General features: G+C 35.3%; 1 protein-coding gene across 1 annotated transcript, besides 1 other annotated feature; it reads left to right on the top strand.

Moving 5' to 3' along the window:
- Nucleotides 1,077-1,126: an enhancer, noted in NCBI's record as "active region_21788". NCBI's record gives its function as "activates an Ori minimal core promoter by ATAC-STARR-seq in GM12878 lymphoblastoid cells {active_cell/tissue: GM12878}" and the evidence as "EXISTENCE:reporter gene assay evidence [ECO:0000049][PMID:35858748]".
- Nucleotides 1,858-13,244, top strand: GIMD1 (GIMAP family P-loop NTPase domain containing 1). The gene is made up of 3 exons (NM_001195138.2): nucleotides 1,858-1,926; nucleotides 3,199-3,593; nucleotides 12,193-13,244. The coding sequence occupies exons 2-3, from the start codon at nucleotides 3,201-3,203 to the stop codon at nucleotides 12,451-12,453; spliced, it is 654 nt and encodes a 217-aa protein (NP_001182067.1). The 5' UTR covers nucleotides 1,858-1,926; nucleotides 3,199-3,200; the 3' UTR covers nucleotides 12,454-13,244.

Here is a 21,152-nt window from a genome sequence, read left to right as displayed (position 1 = left end):
CTTTTCCATTAATTTTCATCAAAATAAAATAAAATACAAAGCAAAACCAAAAACAAAACAAAAATAAAAAGCCACCTTCATGTAAGAAAACTGTAAATGTGGCTGACTTTAAAATAGTTCCTTAGCCCTTTACATTTACAAAACTGAGAGATCTAGCTTTCTGCCCTACTATAATGTCATAGTTCTTCATTCTCTCCTTGTCTGTTCCTTCCTTCCCTCCCTGCATCTCTCTCTCACTTCCTCATTTTATGTCTCTCACTCCCTCTCTCCTTTTATACCCTGATCTTCTCTACTCTTTTCTTGGCTTTTTCCCTTCGCCAGCAGATTGGCTGTTACAATACTTTCTGTGAGTTTAGCTATTGTTCTCAGGATCCCGTTTTCTACCTCAAGTAGCTAAATTAAACAATTTTCTCAGACAGTATCCTTCCTAAGAGAAATTTGGCAGCCAGCTGTTAAAAGATAATACATTTTTTATCCCTACTACATCATATTTAGCCAAGTCGGTGAAAATGTAATTTTTCAGATTGTTCTTTCACCTTGATTCAAAAAAATCAATCTTTCAACATCATCTAATAATAAATTATTCTGCTATAAGACCTCTAAATTGACTCAAATCTAAAACCTGCGTTAGACTTATGAAAAATTATCAAAAAAATTTCAATTTTACTGGAACTTATAATCATGCTCGTGAATTCTGAACTTTATTTTTTAACAGTCAGCTGTTGCATTCAGCAAATGATTTAAACTGTAACTTTGAAGTCGGGCAGGGGGGTGGTTGAAAAACTAAGAGCTTATGCTTGCTGTGTTCTATAAGGAACATAGGAAAGAAAGTTTGGCTTTGTTCTTCTTCAAAAAATCCCCAACACAATTAATATGTGTTTATGTAGATGGTTGAAGAATGTCCGTTTACAGTTTAAGGAAGAAAAATTAAAATAAATCCTGGCTCAAAAATCACTTCTTAGGAAACAGGCTGCTACTGCCACCTGGGGGAGATTCTTTCCACTTCATTCAAGAAGCCCAATGTGTTTATCAGATGAAGGAAGGCAGTTCATGCCTTCCTTGTCACAGCTACACAGGAAGAAGACTTTTTAACTCTCTGCCCGTGAAGTCATAAGGCACTCCAGATGTCTCCAAGTTTCTTTCACCCAGAAATACATATTTCATCGACTTTTTGAGAAATACAAGAGAAGATGAATCAGACTATAACCATACTACTAAAAGCACCAAGAAAGTATTTTGGATCAGTATGGGTAATACACTAAGAAGTAGAAAAAATAAAATTTGAGTTTTCAGTAAGAAAATAAAACTCAAGTTTTTAAGAAAAAATGTATTTGACTTCAAGTTATAGTTAATTTTACTCCTTTCCTTAAATATACTATCATTAATTGATATGAAAGCTACATGTGCTGATATAATCATTCCAGTGGTTTCATAAATTAGGATAAAATAATACTTTTTATTATATGAATATAGCAAAAAGAATTATCTTTAAAAATTTGAAAAGTATTATGAACTAAATACTGATGTGAAGTCATGATCTAATTGTAGATCATGAAAAAATTGTAATCATTGCTAAAGAATGTCTAATTTCTGTTTAATACCCATATTGCATTTCCTTATGCTATAAATAAGTTGTTACTTATAAGAAATGCACAAAATAAAAAAATACTAAAAATAGAATATTTCTGTACCTATTAAAATTACAAGTCTGTCAAGTGTCATAAAAAAGTCAGTGCTGATTAGGGGAAGACAACTAATCATTTATAAAGAGGCTGTCTGGCAATAAATTAACTAAATAAAATACATACGGTGTCAGTCCCAGAGTGGTACAATAACGCTATCAGAAGGTGAAAGTTCATATGAAAGAACAACTGTGCCAGGGCGAGAGACGTCTTTGTGGAGAAAGCATTTTCAAGACTGGAAAAGGTAAGCGAAATATAGCAAATGGATTGGGATTGAATAATTAATTTTCTAAAAACATTACACCCTGATTTAGGAGTAAAAAGAAATTGACTGCATCTCACTGCAGTTGACACCACTGAATGAGCTGGGAGAGCTGGTGTGAACTGGAGGGACCCGCAAAATGAGTGTCTTTTTATGGAGGTATGAAGCTCCTTCAAGGTGTTCACGTTAGCGTGTGGGTATAATGGAGTGAGGGGCATTAAAGGACAAGAAGGACCTGCGGTACTTAAAACTGTGTAATAAAGTTACAAGATCTAGGCAAAAATAATAAATATGCAATATTAAAATGTCTTTATTTCTGAATTGGTAGCGTGGGCAGTTTTAGCAATTGGCAAGTAACTCTGCTTATAAATCTAGTGAAAATGATTAATGACCTTAAAATGCTATGGGGGATCATGCAGTGTACAAAGGATCGGCCACTGTACAGGTATTGTACATGGAATAGATTCTCCCAAGATTCTCCCCCCTTCTAACTGAGCTGCCCAATATGTTAGGCTTTACTTTCTTTATTAAAGAGCCAACACTTACACTAATGGAACATAGAGATGATTTATTAATTATTTTATAACAGAAATTACAAGTAGTTTGTATTTTCACCAATGTTCCCTGGTTGTAAAAAAAAAAATTTGGTAAGCAGAAACAGAAGTCTTCTTTAACATTATTCATATTTCATAGGAAAGAAGCATTCAGGAAATCAGGAAGGATGATTTTTTGCAGATACCACTTGTGTATTCAGGCAGTGGGTCGGGAAGTGGGAAGATGGGGGATGTTGTTAGAAAGCAAGAAGGGTTGTTTCTTCTACTGTTCTATTCTTACTTCTCCAATAGTGAATAACTTTTAAATACTACTGCTAGCTTTGCCCCTGAGCTCAGGAACTTCAACACCTTTTCCTAAACCAACTCACCTACCACATTGATGAGTTAACATATTTCTCTTAAACATGGTTTTTATGATCTTCATGTAATTTGGGATTTTTTCTGTTTCCTAAATCCTTCCTTATCTGTATTTGACTTCTCTCTCCCTTCTCATTGTAAACTACAATTATTCCACATTCCCTTCTGTCACTGGGGGATCTCCACTTTAGTGGAGCAGTCCTCCTCCATGCTTTAGTCACTACGAATGAAGGGAAAACAAATCTAAAATCGTACTTGGAGTGCAACCAGGCCAGGTAAGAAAACTTACATTGGGGGAATGTAGAAGCCTAATTATGCGTGCTATGCCTTTGTTTTCCTACAGCCATGACAGACCCCAACAAGATGATCATCAACTTGGCCCTCTTTGGCATGACTCAGAGTGGAAAAAGTTCTGCTGGAAACATTCTGCTGGGAAGCACAGACTTTCACAGCAGCTTTGCTCCCTGTTCTGTGACCACATGTTGTAGCCTGGGCCGCAGTTGTCACCTCCACAGCTTCATGCGTCGAGGTGGGCTAGAGGTAGCCCTGCAGGTCCAGGTGTTGGACACTCCAGGTTATCCACACAGCAGGCTGAGCAAGAAGTATGTGAAACAGGAAGTCAAAGAGGCTCTGGCACATCACTTCGGGCAAGGGGGTCTCCACCTTGCACTCCTGGTTCAGAGAGCAGATGTGCCTTTCTGTGGGCAGGAAGTAACTGACCCAGTCCAGATGATCCAGGTAATACTAAGATGCAATTACACTAATGCCATTATTACTTCTTGGAGGACATTATCCTAATAGTATAATAATAATAATAATAATATTATTATTATTATACTATTAGTATATAATAATATAGTACATAATAATTTATACAACTAAGTGTTGGTCACCTAGGAATTGTCAGTAAAAATTATTTGATTTTCCCAAGTCATTTTTATGACCTCCTTCAGAGGAACCCAATCAGTCATTTTACAACTGGTTTGTAGGAAAAAAAAATTGAGATATTAAACTTCAGAGGTTAACCAAGCCTCAAACTCCTAGAACAAAAAACCCAAATAAGTTTGTAACATGTTGTCCCTGGACTGTCTGCATCAGAATCAACTGGGCTGTTTGTTAAAGAAGATTGATCCAAAACGTACTGAAACAGAATCTCAGGAGTGGAGCCTGCATATCTGTATTTTCATAATTTTCCATGTATTTCTCAAAAACAGTCAGGTCGTAGAACCGTTGAACTTAAACACTGACTTGCATCCATTCAGCATCAAAGGGACAATCTCTTATAGTTCACCAGGAAATGGGTGCTCATTCACTGACTTGGTCATTGAACACTCTATTGAGCATCTAAACAGTGCTTAATTACTGGTAAATGAGACATGAGCCCTTCCTTCAGAAAGTTTACAGTCTAGAAGAGGAAAATTAGATAAGCAAACCAGAAAAAGACAATGCATTAAGTGCCAAAGTAGTATAATGAAAAAGAGGGGGTTTCATAAGACTTAAGTCATAGTGAGCATTCAAGGGAGAGTTATGCATTATTCATAGGGAAACAATTCAGAACTTCAGATTCTTTGCTTGCCTTATCAGTTGTAGCATAAGTGACTGCTCCATTCTAGCCAAAAGAAGACCATAGGGACCTCAGGTTGAGCATAAATAACACATGCCACCTTTCCCTGGTGGTCTATTCCAATTTGTTTGCTTGTTCATTCATTATAGGTCACTAAGTTGGAGGCTTATTCACAGTCTTCAACTGTGAATAAGGAGAGGAGCTGGATAAGAGGCCTGGACATGACCACAGCTAGGAGATGGAGGGAGTTGGGAGTTTGTGTGTGTGTGTGTGTGTGTACGTGTGTGTACATGTGTGTGTGTGCATATGATGTGTGGACTATTACTAACAATAGTCCACACAGCCCTGTGTAGACTATTACTAACAATAGTCCACACAGCCCTGTATAGACTATTACTAACAATTCCTGGAAACTATTCCTAACAATTCCTGGAAACTATTCATTGAGCTGCTCTATTCTATTCAATCTGTTGATTCTTCAGTCTGAGTCAATCTAAATTTAGCTGCTGGACTTCACTAGTATTACTCAAGAGCCTCAATGAGTCACTGAGCTCAGAGACACCAGGTCTATTAGAAGCTCCACAGTTAAACTTTATACTGAATGGTGAACAGATCTTTTCTGTTCAAGAAGAACTTGTAAAAATGCTACCCTTCTTTTGGTTCAGTCTCAGCTCATACTGACATAGGCCCTGTTACAGCCCAGAAAGATAGTTACTTGGTTTTAATGAAGATTTTTTCCTTTAACTAGAAAAGATACTTCTACGTGACAGATACACGCATTGTTTTTCAGTAACTGTGCATGTTTCTAAAAATGAAAAAAAAAAACCCAGCCATATGTATAATCACAAGAAACTAGCAGAAAAATCAGGGTGACAGGAGCATAAAAAATGCTCATCATGTAACTCCTGAAAAACCAAGGACCTGCTATACAAAAGTAAGGAAGAATAGAAGATGATTGCAATTAAGAAACAGTATGGGATCTAAGAAAGCCCACAAGCCTCCTCCAAATTATGAAAGCCTGTATTTCAAGCAATGTTTCTGGTAGAAATCAAGTGGTGGGAAGCCTGCATCCATGACACCAGTATAATCTTTAGACAGTTCTTAAAAATTCATTTAAAGCTATTATTAAGTAAACATTTAGATGAGGCTATAGATGGATATAATTCAGTAAATGCAGTAAACACATAAACAACTCTTTTTCAAAAGCTACCCTGACTCTTTCCATACGTCTCAATATTTCCCTACCATGAACCTATGCTGAGCCCAAAAGGTTATTTTAAATATCATACATTTTGAAAATAGGTTTTAATAGTTTTAGCATATGGGACAATAATGTCATCTGTGAGTCTTTTTTATATATGTGAACTCAATTCATACATGTCTTTGGTCGTTTAAAACAATATTTGGCATATAGTCTTCTCTTACAGATGCCTTCCAAATCAGTATGCAATTCAGGAACTGAAGGCAGCAAGGAGATGAGCTAGGGCAAAGCTCAGATCCCAAATATTTCTTTCTGAAATAAATAACTTCCGTCTCCCAAGAAAATCAGCAGCCAAGGTTTAATAATCTTGAGTGGCCTATGATCCCTGGGAGCACTGCAGACCTATTCCAGGGTTCTGCTACGGTCTTTGGTTGATGGTCACTTAAGCACAGGCTGGCTGTTTGTGATCTTCCTGAAGGTGCCTCAGATACTGGTGGCAGCCATCTGTATGTGCTCACAGATTGGAAGCTGTTGCAGAGTGTCTGAATATTCAACAGGACCAGCAGCTGTTAGGAAGGAGCAAGAAGCTGTTAGGTCCTCAGGTTTCAGGCACACTATGGATTTCTTTTTCTTCCTGGCTGATGCAAAATGGAGTATGGAGTATCTGCCTTCTTTCTTTTACCCCTTTTCAGGGGCACTGACTAGTACTGTAGAAGGAGCCTACCAAGCCAGAGTCAGAGAAGTAGCTTCTTCTTTCCCATGCCTCCCGGTTGTCTCTTTAAATATCTTCCCCAATTTGTACTCTAATATTTTGCAGAGGAGTTATATTCTACTGGCTGTGACGATGGAAACATTTTCCCCAAATGATCCCTTTTTCTTTTTGTTAGGCCTTTATTAATTTACAGTAAAATGAAAGAGATATCAGTGAGTCATGTCCCCAAAATCAAGAAATAGAAGGAAGAATTTATTCAAATATTATCTGGAATCTCATTTGAATGTTTATAAACCCACAAATAATGAATCAGAGAAGATATAATATAGTCACCTCAAGGAAAGAGCTGGCATACAGCCAAGCTGCAGTAGGAATTGTACCTAGGTATTGCCTATGGTCCATTTCCGCCCCCCCCCCCCCATTATGGTATTCTGTATTATTACTGCGTACAAGCAAGTTTCAAGCATGTACTTTTATTTCATCATCAACAACCGAGCTGTTGATGTTGCAGACGAATGTGTTTACAAAAAGCTCGGAAAAGCTAATTCAGAGCCTGAAAATACTAAATGAAGATTGTGGGCTTAGTTGTTAGAATTTAGTTAAAAAAACAAGCCTAATTACTTCATAGGTGTATGACTATAAATGTTACTAAAACTTTCTTGGTTTCAATTCCTTACTTGTAATGTGGAGATAATTTTATGTATGTTAAGAGTTCTGAGCATTATATTTAATAAATACATCATGCTCAGCATTGTGCCTACTTACAGTAGGTCACAGAAAATGGTAAAGTATTACTAGTATTGTTGTTTTTATTGTTATGATCACTACTGAGATTGTGAATGAGTACTCATTCAAATGAACTACTGGATATGGGCAAGATAGCATAGAGATTACGAGATGGGTTCTAAAGTATTCAAGTCTTAGCTACTTATTTGCTTTGTGATCTCGGGCAAGTAACTTCTGTAAACTTCATTGGTAAATTGAGAAAGACAGTAGTGTCTGCTTCATTGGGTTACTTGTGGGATTAATGCCCTTTCAACGGTAAATGATATAGCTTAGGCACAGGCACGTGGCAAGTGCACAGCAAATAGCTCTGGCCATTATTATTTCATTGTTAGTATTTGTCTTATCCTAAAATTAGGAAATAGTGTTTTTTAGGTTTATCCTGGTAGACTTATGAAGAAAATAAGAGTAAAATCAAATTTACGTGGCCCTGATTTATAAACATAAGAAGTAACTTTTTTATTAATTTAGAAAAAAAATCTGGAAAAATCTTCACTGGCTTAGTATGGTTAAATTGAAGAGCCCCAATTTAGTGGGAAAGATGGGGGACCTTGGTTCCAGGTCCAAGCCTGTCAATAATCAGCCATATGACTTTGGCCAAGTCATTTAACACCGTAAGTCCTCAATACCTCATCTGTAAAATGAGGCAGTTTATAAGATGATCTCTGAGGTTGAATATTCTCTGGATCTGGCCTAATGAGAAATTATCATTCAGCTTTGGCTCTCTGAAAAGGAAAATGTAATGTTTTAATTGGGGTGAGAGTAAGGGAATAGCATAAAGTATAAAAAAATGGTCCTCATTGTCCTCCTGTTCCGTGATAATTTTTTTCTCAGTTGATGTAATAGTTGGCTTTTTGTTTGTTTGTTTCACCCTAAAAAGTCCAGATGCTATGATTTCATCAACCACAAACAAATGGGGCAGGGCTGGTGAGGTCCTGGGAAAATGAACATAATTCCTGGATAACAAAGTTTATATCCTAACCAGTAGTCCCAAAAGGACTAAATGGACTCATACCCATTAGCACTCAAACCAAACAATTCATGATTGATCATAAAATTTTCATCTAGCTTAGTACTATATTTAAATTATTAACACCAGATAACTTACATTAACTTATCTTGCTTTTGGATTTTTATGTGAGGTATCAATCAACTGTAATGATTCTTTCTCTGGGTCCATAGAGAACATGTTTGGCCACTAACGTGATGACTATTCAGCAAGCAACACTACTTTCAAATATTCAACTATTTTCTGGCCAAAATCGACTTAAAGATTTTAAGCTAAATCAACCACTCTCTTCTGTTTTTGGCAGTAATTCAAAAGTGCAATTTCTCTCACAGTTTAAGGTATGAGCATCCTTTCATAAATAAATGTGTAAAAACTTCCCAGTGGCTGAACACATGGACTTTTAAGTGGCATGGCACTTACAAATCTATTATCCTTAGGTGATTTAACTCACGTTCTCTGAATGAGATTGTGGTTTAAAGTATGGGAAATGTCTGGTGGAGACCAAAAGGGAACATGTTAATGTTACAATACAGAAAAACAGGAACAAAAGAAATACTATGAAAGTTAAACCATTTACTTCATTAAGTACTAACCTAGAAAGAAAATAATTCTGTGTTACGATATATAACTCAAGAAAGGATTGTTTGTGCCAAATAGTTTATTTAGCATGCACATTTATTGTAGCAATACTGTATTTCAAAAATATTTAAGGAGGCAAATACCTTATTCATTAAGTCACTGGGGCTCAAAAATATTTAATAACAAGTATGATCTACACATCAGCCAATACATATCTAAGGGTAAGTTTAGGATGGCTCTCAAGGAGTTAAGAGCAGTAGCTATTTAATAATTTGTATGAAAACATTTTGATATCTGACAATCAGTATGACCATATTCATAGCGTACTTGGTGAATATCAGGTCTGGCTCTAAATTTGATAATCTTTCAGAGATAAGAGTGATCAAAGATCAATAGCTGTACTTGTTTAGAAATAAAATCTCAATGCTGTACAATCTCAATCATGCTTGATTACATTAATTACCTTGTTAATTCCTATGTATTTTTTAAGAATCTGGTGACTGCATCATCACATGCAAGACATCTTGTCTGGTCTTTCCTTTTTACCCTTACTTCCCACCTCCACCCCAAAATGGGCAAAATGATCACCTTTATAATGCTAACATAATTTCTATCACACTTGCAATTGAAACAAATTCAAAGTATTTCTTTCCTGTCTGTCTCCCTTCCCAAGTTAATTTAGTACACAAAAATCTCCACTAACTGTAAACAGAATATGTCTGTCTTGTTCCACACCTGTCCCTACCATGTAGAGCATGCCTAGAACAAAGTAGACCCTCAATAAATATTTGCAGAAGGAATAAATCATCTAAAATGCTTTATAAAATTCAGATTCCAGGCTCCAGCCCTAATGGTTCTGATGCATTTTTAGAAAGCCTCCCAGGTGATTCTGATGCAAATGATCCAGGGATTGCTGTATTCCCAGAGGCCAGATCTAATATACTTAGTACTTTATTAATTTTTTTAGCCACTTGCATTAGTTTGCTAGGGCTCCTGTAACAAAGTACCACAACCTGGGTGGCATAAACAGCAGGTATTTACTGTCTTTCAGTTCTGGAGGCTAGAAGTCTGAAATGAAGGTGTTGTAAGGGTTGTCTCCTTCTGATAGCTGTGAGAGAAGATCTGTTCCAGGCTTCTTTCTTTGGCTTGTAGATGGCTATCTTCACGTACGCATGGCACTCTCCCGGGACTTGCGTCTTTGCCCAAATTTCCCTTTTTTTATAAGGACACCAATCATACTAGACAGGGACTCACCCTAATGACCTTAGCTTAAATAATTATATTTGCAATGACCCTATTTCCAAATAAGATCACATCCGGAAGAACTGGGGATCGGAATTTCAACACATGAGTTTGGCGGAGGATGCAATTCAACCCATAACATCACTGCTCATTTACTTTGCAACTCTGTGACTCCTCTTCCAGCAGAGACCTGTTAACAATATACAGAATATACAACAAACTCTAAAGAGGTCTGCTAATTTTGCTATGTTACCATTAGGCAAAATGGGATGCTGACATTATATGGATACTAATTTTTTAAAAATTTATTTTTTAAAGTTTATAATCTATTACAGTAATTATTCCCTAATATACTGATTGTGAAACTTTAAGCAGGGTATTTTTAGAAGGAATAGAAATATGCAGTTATTCTATGGTGGGTGTACATAGAAAAATTTTGAACACATATGAAGAAAAAGTTTGGGCCTATTCCTTGAAAGAGTCCCTCTGAATAGAAAATAGTCCAGACTACAGGCAAATTCATGATGATAAACTGCAAAAAAAAGAAGCTTTACAAAGATTAATTATACTTCAAAACCAAAACCTCAAAAGAAATAAATAGAACCCTAAGACTTCTATTTGAGATGACAATGAGGGTCTAAATTCCAAATTAATTTAACAGATGTTTACTGAAAGTTTACAATGTGCTAAAAGCTTTGATTGATATGGAAAGACATGAATCTTGCCTTCAAAGAGTTCACTATGAAGTTGTAGAAATTGATGTATAAATAAATGAATCTGATAAAAGCCAGACTGTATCAGTTGTAATTGGTGACCATGATTGTGATGTTTCTAATTTTAAATGTTTTGTCCCGTAGTTCTCACGAGTATTTTCATGTTAGATTTACCTATCCAGATTCCTTCTTTCCTTACTCCTGCTTGCCTTCCTTCCTTCCTTTCTCCTTTCTTCCTTTTCTGTTTTCTTTCTTATTTCCTTCTTCTTTTTTCTTTGTTTTCAATTTTTCCATATTATAAATTCTAATCCTGTATTTTTTAGGTACATTGAAAATGATTTCCCAGACTGTCTTTCAATATTTTCAATAATTTTTTAAAACCAGAGTTTGTACTAATACATATAACTCAAAGTCTTTATAAGTCAGTTTGCCAATATCATAATGGAGATAATAATAGTATCTCCCACAAATAATTGCATTAAGCTTCAAAAGAGGTAACGCATGTAAAGTGCTTAGCATAATATCTGGCACTAAATGTTAGTTTTTCTCCTTTCTTTCTTTCTTCTGATTATTAGAGGTCTTGGGTGTTTCTTATTATGTTTATTCCTAGGCATTTTGTATTTTTCTTGCCATAAACTAGTAGTAGCTTTGGAAATATTTTGGTAATAGGAGTGTTCGGAATGGAGGTAATGTTATTTTGTTGTCACATTGTGATTTCATGTAACTTTAGAAATATCCCAAAAAGTTCAAGGGTTATTTCTAGATGCCTTTTATATTACATGAACAATTTGCCACATGCTGTTACTTCTGCTTTATATCAGCTTATATTCACTAATCAAACAAGAATTTATTACATAACCAACTTCCACATATTACTAAACAAAGGAATGCCAGTCTTCAATGTTTTTCAACCACATTAGAGGAAGTCATCAGATAAATTGGGTTCCATTCTAAGCATGTGAAGTCAAGAAGATGAGACTCACAGTTATAATATTTTGTGGTTCGTCCAAATCACCAAATGTATTTTTATCTGAGCTTTTCCATTACATGTCACCTGATTAATCAATAGATTCTTAACAGATTATGTAATTTTATATCTTTAGTAGATGCTTTTAATGATAATGATAAAAGTAAAAGATAAAACAATTCCCTTGACTAAGGTCCTCCGACTTAAATTCAGTGGCTTTAATGGACTCAGGTAGTCAGACAAGTATAAATGATTACTGAATGTTGAGAAATCTATGCAGCAATGATAATATGCAGTTTTGAGGTTGTGTATATATCAATTATCATAGTAAAATAAAAGAGAGAATTTAATTCTCTGTTTAATCCTGCCTTTTTCAGAAAGTCAAGCCTTTTCCCTCCATTTACTTAAAATACTTGACCCTGTCTTCATTTCCTACATTGTATATCAGCTTTCAGAAACATAATAATATGGATCTGCTGGCTATCTATATTGGACCGTAATAAATCCTTTGCTCATTTTTGAGGAATATAGTTCAAGTTCAATAGTTATCTAACTTCTCTCTTTCAGGAACTTCTTGGACATGCTTGGATGAATTACACAGCCATTCTTTTTACCCATGCAGAAAAAATAGAAGAGGCTGGGCTTACTGAAGATAAATATTTACATGAGGCCTCTGATACCCTGAAAACGCTGCTAAATTCTATTCAGCACAAATACGTTTTCCAGTACAAAAAAGGAAAATCACTCAATGAACAAAGAATGAAAATCTTAGAAAGAATCATGGAATTTATAAAAGAGAACTGTTACCAAGTTCTTACATTTAAATAAAATTTAGGTGAAAGGAAAGGAGCATTGGGTATTGGAGTCAGAAACCTAGCTACAAAGAATGCCTTTATTGACATGAATGTGGACCATAAGTATTCTGATATGCTGCTGGTGAGAGTGTACATTGGTATAACCACTTTGGAAAACTAGAAGTTAAAAAGAACATCAATGATTCAAGATTTCTAATGCAAATCCCATGACATAGCAATTACACTCCTAAGTGTATACCCAACATAAATGTGTACATTTGTGTACTAGAAGACATGTATGCACAATAATGTTCATGGAACTACTATTCAAAAGCTAAACATACAGACTATTCAAATGTCTATTAATATTAGAATGGTTAAGTAAATTGTGGTATATTCCCACAGTGGGATATTAGAATAAGTAATTAGAATAAGCAAGCTCAACTATATGTAACGATACCAGTGAATTGCCCAAACATAATGTTGAAAAATAAGCCAGACATAAAAGAGTACATACTCCATGATTCCATGTGCAGAAAGTTCAAAAACAGTAAAACAAATGTAATCTAAACTACTCTGATGGTAGAAGTGCTGGAAATTGGGAGAGTGGTTAACCTTGGGGAGGAGATTGTGAGTGAAAGGTTACACTTGATGTGGCTTCTGAGATTCTGGTCATGTTCTTTTGTTCTCTTGATTTGGAGCCTGGTTTCACAGGATTTGTTCACTTTGTGAAAATGCAACAACAAACACTTGTGATTTATAAACTACTTGTATATGCTATATTTAAATAAAAGTTAAAAATAATTAGTTATTATCCATTAAAAAGGAACTAGCTCCACTGCTTACTTGATGCCAGAAAAGAAAAATTGTTTAAACTTGTCAGAGTCTGTTTCCTTCTTTGGAATACCTACTCATAGTTATTGTAATGATTAAATGCCATGGCACATGGTAGTTGCTTAAAATATGTTAATTTTCTTTTCCACTTCCTTGTAACCTGTGGTTTCTATTTCAGTTTGGAAACATTTGGTAAAAACTCAGAGCAAGCCCTTTAGCAAAAATGAGTATAACAATTGTGATAATTGACTATGAATAAAGCCTTCACTAAAGACCTTCTACCTTTGAAGGTTGGCCACTATGGTTTAGTGGAGAGCTTCAGGATGGTCCCAATGGTAGCAGTGAAAATTGAAGGAAAATAATTCCAATCAGTGATAAGAGTGAAGTCCACCAGCAAGTCAAAATTAGATCACTTTCATAAATATTTGTATATGAACTTCATAATTTATAAAATTTTTTCACAAAGATAGTTCCCAATTTACAGTTTGTTCTTATAAGCCGGTGGTTATTCTCCCAGAGTAGTCTTCAAAAGCCTACTTTAATGCACAATATTATGTGAACTCCAGTACACGTTTGAATTTGTGCTAGATTTATAAAATGTTTCTATAGGAAAGCATAATACAGATTCCAACTTAAAACAACATCTCACTTATTTCTTTGCATGACCTCTTGCTCCTATGCTGTGGGCCCTGGACTGAGAAGTGGGAGACTCAACAATGGGGCAGAGTTTGGAAGTGCAGTGAGAACTGACACTTGCCCCACGGGTTGTTGGGGCTTGGGACAGAGAAAGAGACTTGATGCTAAGAAGTTGAAACAATGGTGACTGGTGGAGAAAAGGAGAATGGAAAAGAATTCAGGTGTTAAGTTCTTCATATGCTTCATTTATGTGTTGTCAGTTAACTTTTCTAGAAAACAAAAACTAGTTCATTTCAGGAAGTATATATGGTGCAGAACATTAAGGATTTAAGCTCTGTGAGGCTGGCCTGATATTGATGATTAATAGAGAGGTGCTTTTAGTCAAAGAGGATTTCTGTGATATTCTTCCCTGAATTATTTATTTTTATATTTGCATATACAGTATCACCCCTTATCTGTGATTTCACTTTCTGTGGTTTCAGTTACCTGTGGTCAATTGCAATCTGGAAATATTACATAAATAAGATTTCTTAAGAGAGAGACCACATTCACATAACTTTTATTACAGTATATTGTTGTAATTGTTCTAGTTTATTTTTAGTTATTCTTGTCAATCTCCTACTGTGTCTAATTTAAAAACTAAACTTTATCACAGGAATGTACATATAGGAAAACATAGTATGTTTAGGGCTCAGTACTCTCTTTGGCTTCAGGCATCCATTAGGGCCTTGGAACATATTCCCTCTGGATAAGGTGTTCCTACTGTGTATACATGTGTGTATATACACACACAGACATTTCCACATAAATACTTAAATGTGGTAGTATTACATACTTTATTTTCTTTTAGCAGTCTTATGTGGCTTTTTTGCTTTGCCTTTACCTCTCTCCTCTTCTCCTTGCAAATCTGCCCATTACAGATAACTGATGCCAACCAAAAGCCTGGTGTCCACTGTTTCTATTTTTCTTCATGTCCAGGTAATCATCCCCACACAGCACATATAAACACATAAAAATATACAGGGCTTTTCAACTTAAAAACAAGTTTTTGTATTACACTCTTCATAATATATTTTTCTTTCACTTTAACACGGTTGTAGGACTTTCTCCTCGTTTCAGCTAAAAACTGGGTTCTTGTCACACGACCAAGAAAGATTAGGCTCATGGACACATAGAAGGGTGAGAAAAACGGAATTTATTGGGTGAAAAACGAAAAAAAGCTCAGCAAAGTGAGAGGGGTTCCTGTTAATGGGACCCCATCTCACCAATTGAATCCCAGGTTACCACCCAGTGACAGGAGAGGCTAGGCTCCTCCTCTCTGCAAACAACAAGAACTTCCCGCGGCTCCACCTTGTCCTCTCTGTGTGCAGGCCAGTTGGAGATTCTCCAGGAGCCCTTTTTACTTGGCTGTCTCAACACCACCTCATTTAAATTTTTCCAAACCTAAAATATAGCCCAAATTCATTCTTTTTAAAGGCTGCAAAACATTTCACAGTGTTTATGTAACAATTTATGCAACTGCTCCTCTGTTGATGAGCTTTCCAGTTTTCTGTCACCCAAAGCAATGCTCAAGCAACTATTCTTGTACATATATTTTTAGTTAATACTATTTTTCTGTAAGTTATATTCCCAAGAGTATATATATAAAAGTATAAAAGTATATATACATTTAATATATCTTAACAGATTCTTTGTAAAAATATTGTGATAAACTTGATTTCCAACAACGTGAGTTGTTTTCTCCCCATCAATGGGTGTTATCATCTTGAACACCTATTGTTAACAAGTTGAATAAATGTAAAACCACAGCCCACTGTTACTTTATTTGCATTTCCCAATTGGAACGATTTTCTGTATTTGGAACATTTTTGTGTAAGCATTTTGGTAATTTAGACTTAGTCTTTTATGAATTGGCTCTTCACATCCTTTGTCCTTTTGTCATTTCTTTTTCTATTGGATTACTTTTTGTTTGGCAAATTGGAAGAGCTCTATGTATGTTACAGATATTAACCCTCTGTCTGTCCTCTGAGTAACAATTGTTTTTTCAAATCTATTATTTGTCCTTTAACTTTGTATGGTAAGTTTTGCCAAACTAAATTTGTGAAATTTTTTATAGTCATATATTTCCGTGTACATGATATAGCTGGTTTTAGTTTTACTTCCTTTCAGATGAGTAACCAGTTGTATTTGTTCTATTTATAAATTCATCCTTTTACTACTTATATGGTAGGTAGGTAGCTAGATATAGAGACTGAAACGTATATCCTGGATCTATTTCTGGATTTATCCTGTATTTTTAATCCTATTCTGTTACCTATTTTATTTATATTGTTCTCAATACCAAAGTGATTTAATTGTAATAATTTTATATCATTCCTTGATATCTAGGAGGTCAAACTTGTTTTCTTTTTTCAAAATATTTTCTGGTTATACTCAGGCATTCATTCATACATGTTCTTAGATTGTTTTTCCTAAATTAAAAAAAAAATATTTTGTGTGTGTGTGTGTGTGTGTGTGTGTGTGTGTGTGTGTATGGTAAATGACACCCCATGATATTAAATCTTCCTTTACAAGGACACAGAATATTACATTATGTTTATTATTTTATATTAGTGTATTTATTGTATTTTTTCTTTTCCTTAGTTTTGCTACCTTGATAACATTGCTATTAATTCAATATTTCCCCTTGATAATTTGGAAGTTCTATTCTAATTCACCCTCATTAAAGATTATTTTCTTGCCCCTGATTTCACAATCATGTACATACTTCTCTGCTATTGCCTGATGACACAGTATGAACTATTTCCCTTACCAAGAATTTCCTACTATTAAAATAAGACCCTTACAATACTTCCATTTCCGCCCTAGTTCTCTTTCTCCTATCCTCCCCAGAAAAGTGGACTTTGGAATGCTTTTCCTTTCACCATATTACTAGATTGTGCTCAGATATTTAATTATTTAATTCAAGACTCCCCCTTGCAGGTTGTCCCTTTTGTTTCAAGAGTCCTTTCTTATAACTTACATTGCATATATCCTGGTAGTTTATCATTAGCTCTTTTAATTCAATATACAAATAGTAGAAGGTCCATATCTTACCACTGTTTTCCTTCCTCTTCATCTTTTCCCATCTTTCTGGTTAGTGTGTTTTCCCAATATACTCTGAATTCTAGTATAATATCCATGAAGCATTAAATTCTAGACATACTCTTCTGTGTACCATTATGCAATAGCAATCCTAGCTTTTCATAAGAATCAGCATAGTGGGTGTAGGGAAATATTTTGTTAGTTGGTAATGGGGATGTTGGATTATATGAATGTTAAGGCACTGAAGTGAACGTCTTGCTGCTGTTCTCCATTTGAGGCTGGTTTGTTCAGCTTTTTCTGGATGACAGTGTGTGCATATTCATTGAATAAACTCATCTGTTCTGGAGGTAATTACAACTTGCAGCTGTTGGGGGCTCAAAAGACCATATTCCAAATACGAGACCTTGGCATGCTGAGTACTTTGAACTGAAGGAGATTGGAGGAGCTTCAGAGGCAAGGTCTTTCTGTCCTTCTCCTGCCCTCCTATGTTCCACCTCTTTTTCCCCTTGAAGAAAGTCACAGAAACCAGAATTTCTTATCCTGAAAGCAAGCCATAAAACTTAGAAAGGTCACTGTCTCCCTTCTCCCTTGATGACCCTCATTCCAGAAGGGTCCTGCCCCATACCCAGGGGAAGGCATGCTACAGACACCAAGAAGAATCTGGATGGCCTTGCTGGGTTTCCCTGACCAGTCTATTACAGTTTAGCACTTTCTCTTTTATCCAATTACATTGCTATATGGCTGTCCATTCTTCAGCAATCCTAGGCACAAAATAGACAGCTTTCCCTGAGTCTTTTGGTCTTCATTTCTGAGGGCTCGTGTATCATGTAAAACTTGGATTAAATACACTTATGTTTTTCTCTTGTCTTTTGTTACAGGAGTGTCAGCTTTGACTCTTAAGATGGGTAAGGAAAGGTATCACATCTTTCTGCCCCTACGCATCTAAAGAACCATGAGACTAGGATTACTTTAAGTAAAATAAGCGATGTCCAGCAAGTTCATCTTTTGTACCCTGCCACCTTTCCTATGAGAGTCTATTATTTGCAATATTTTCTCATGTCCCTCTAGATGCCTAATCTGTATGCTGTTCTCATCCAGACACCAAAAATCTCTACTAAAGCTTAATTTGAAAGTGCTTTGAGTATTTTAGAGGATTGGAAGACAGTGTATCTGATGTTTTTGTGCAGCTAGTGTTAAAGTCTCATTAGTGCATTCAATGTGGGGTCACCAGTGATTACCCCTGCAATCTATCAGCTCTGACTCTTGCCAGGCTTGTTCCTCTAGATACATCACCTCAAACAGCATTTTCAAAGACTTTCTTTTTTAAAGCTATGTTTATCTATATTTTTTATATTAAAATTTTTCTTAGATTTTCTATTCTACTGATTTTCAGATATACTGTACTTCTTTTACATAAAGCTAATGCTTTTATGTGGCATTGCTATTTCCCAGATTCTCACTCCAACTTTGTTTTCAAAACAAATCTCTCCAAAAGTATCTGAAAAGTTTTTGTTTTTGTTTTCAATGTATGTGCAGTTTTAACACAAAAATGTTATCCTTTTATAGGAAAACTGAAAGTTTTCGAAAAAAGTTATTTCTACTGAAATCATTCCCTTTTGCTAAACTTATTGAAAGTGACTTTTAGTTTGCATTTTTCATTAATCTTTTTCAAAGAGAAATACAGTTGTGGTGTTGATTTTGGATGACTCTTGCACTGTTCTTTCCAAATTCCCCAGGTGTGAAAATTTGAGGGATTTTAAATGAACAAGTATCAGCCAAATATGCAATCTGAAAACCAAAGTGCACATATATATTGGGTGCATTTCTCTGCTGGGATGCATGATATTCTAATGAGGCAATTTACAAAAACAAATGTAAAACTTTGTCAGAGCAGCCTTAATATGAAGGTTCATCACAAAAAGGCCATTGAGGAAATAAGACATTAACAATGGCTATTTGAACAATTCTGTAGGCATTATGTAGCAATGGGAAGGGCAAGAGTAGTTAACGCTTCATTAAAAAGGATTTTTCTTTCTTGCAATTATTGGGTCTCAGGCTTGTTTCTGCTCCTGTTGCTAAGGCCAACAGCCTGCCAGATAGGAAATGATGTTGATGAAGACAAAAATCATACTTACACACGTTTTTGTACTTAAACATCTAGAGAATTGGGAATAGTGTGTGTTAGGATAGGTGGAAGTTAGAAAGGAAGGGGAAAAAAAAACCCAAATACATAAGGGTGAAAAAATACAATATACAATAATTAGTTCACACTCTGAAATTCCAGATGGCTCACTTTCACACCAACAATTATTTCATTGTTCTGGGTCCTTCCTCCAAATATTTTTATGGAGTTATACTCCTATGAGTTATCTCTGCCAAGATTTACTCAAAGGAAAAACCATAACTATACAAAGTACAATGCAAAATAATGTGAAGTGACTCTTTCTAATTCCAACAAGTTGGTACCTGAAGATGATTCAGTTTTGTACAGAGGCATATTAGCCATCAGCAACTATCCTTTTCATCATTATTGCAAATTTTGGGGTTATAAGTAGTATCACAATGGAGTATACCTATGTTTCTGTTTTAAATTATCTATCTGTATGGAACTTAGTGACATCTATCATGTTGGCTTTTGGGATGGACTGTCATTACACATTCAGTGCCCTCAATAACAGCGCACTATTCAAAGAATCATGGTATAAACCTCTTCAAAAAGGCAACTGCTACCAGCAGCAGCAGCTTGGTTTTGCCAAGTGAATTCTCCCTATATATTTGAATAGTAAAAAGAAAAAAAATTGATAAATTCTCTTCATAACCACTCCAAAGAGTGTTTAATAATCTCAACTCTCCCTTTAGAATCTCTTAAGTATTCCACTAAAGGAGCTAATCATAAACTACTCAAATTTAGGTATTTTTATGTCACTATTTTTCTCTAACATTTAAAGTAAAGCTAAACTTTTCATTCAAATAAAAGAAACCACATGACCATTTAACTAACATGTTAAGAAAGCATGATGTATTGGAGAACACAGGATCAGTAAGAACTGAAAAAAATTAAACCAGGTTTCAACTTTGTATGGGGCATTTATTTAACTTTTCTGTTGACTCTTTGGGGTAAAATGGCTGATCTACCTCAAAAGGAGCTTTTAAGGGGTGGATAAAACACATGAAAAGACTAGTTAGAAGGCAATAACAATCTTAATAGTAATTCTGTAATAAAATCCATGACAGTAGACATGTATTATTAATATATCACCCTTACATTTGTTAGAGAAGGCATGATTATTCCTTAACTAAAATTTTGGAGGGTAGAGCTTTCTCCATGAGACAGCAATTTGCAACATTATTGCCTGTTGAGCATACTAATTTGCCCTTCCTAGTTCTTTTTATTTTGCATCTTGGTGATAAAGTTGTAATTTTCATACTGCTGGATAGCACTTAGAATCAGGACTTGTGTCACTATTTATGTAGGTGAAATACATGGCTAATGTTATATACTTCTGATACTTTTATATTTTAAAAGGACGTATCATTTCTCTGAAAAATTGAGGAGGTATACTCAGGCCATTTTAATGCCCAGTTATAAGAAACAGCGAGGTGCTCCCCAACTAAGATTTTTTTTTTTTTTTTTTTTTTTTTTTTTTTTTTTTTTTTTTTTTGAGACAGGGTCTCAACTCTGTAGCCTAGTTTGGAGTGCAGTGGTGCAATCACAGCACACTGCAGCCTTGCTCTCCTGGGCTCAAAGTGATCCTCCCACCAAACACTACCCCCTATCGTTGAAATCCTTAAAAACCAGAATACATCAGATGCTGAAGTGTTATGTCCAGTTTGCCAACAATGCTATTTCTTTGTTGATTCCGTAAGAGCTCTCCCATCCCAGCAATACAAATAAAACAGAATTAAGTTTTCTGTGAAAACAAGTACTGAATAGGGCTGAATGGATAACTTGGTCAATGCTTTCATACAACTTGAAAAATCACTGATTAATTCTCCACTTCTTTCTCTCTTTAGCACTCTTTAGCATGGATTTTTACATGGTAAAGACCTGTGGGAATTATGGAGGGAAGCATGGACATTTGTTATAATTTGGTAAGGCATAATATAGTACTTGAGAAAGACAAATGTGACATTTTTGGAATGTACTCTTTTGTAGTAAGTCGTCATAAATTTCAGCAC

This window comes from Homo sapiens, chromosome 4 (assembly GCF_000001405.40).
Source record: "Homo sapiens chromosome 4, GRCh38.p14 Primary Assembly".
Lineage (NCBI taxonomy): Eukaryota > Metazoa > Chordata > Mammalia > Primates > Hominidae > Homo > Homo sapiens.
The sequence above is the reverse complement of the archived record's forward strand: the minus strand, read 5'-3'. Positions and strand labels throughout refer to the sequence as shown.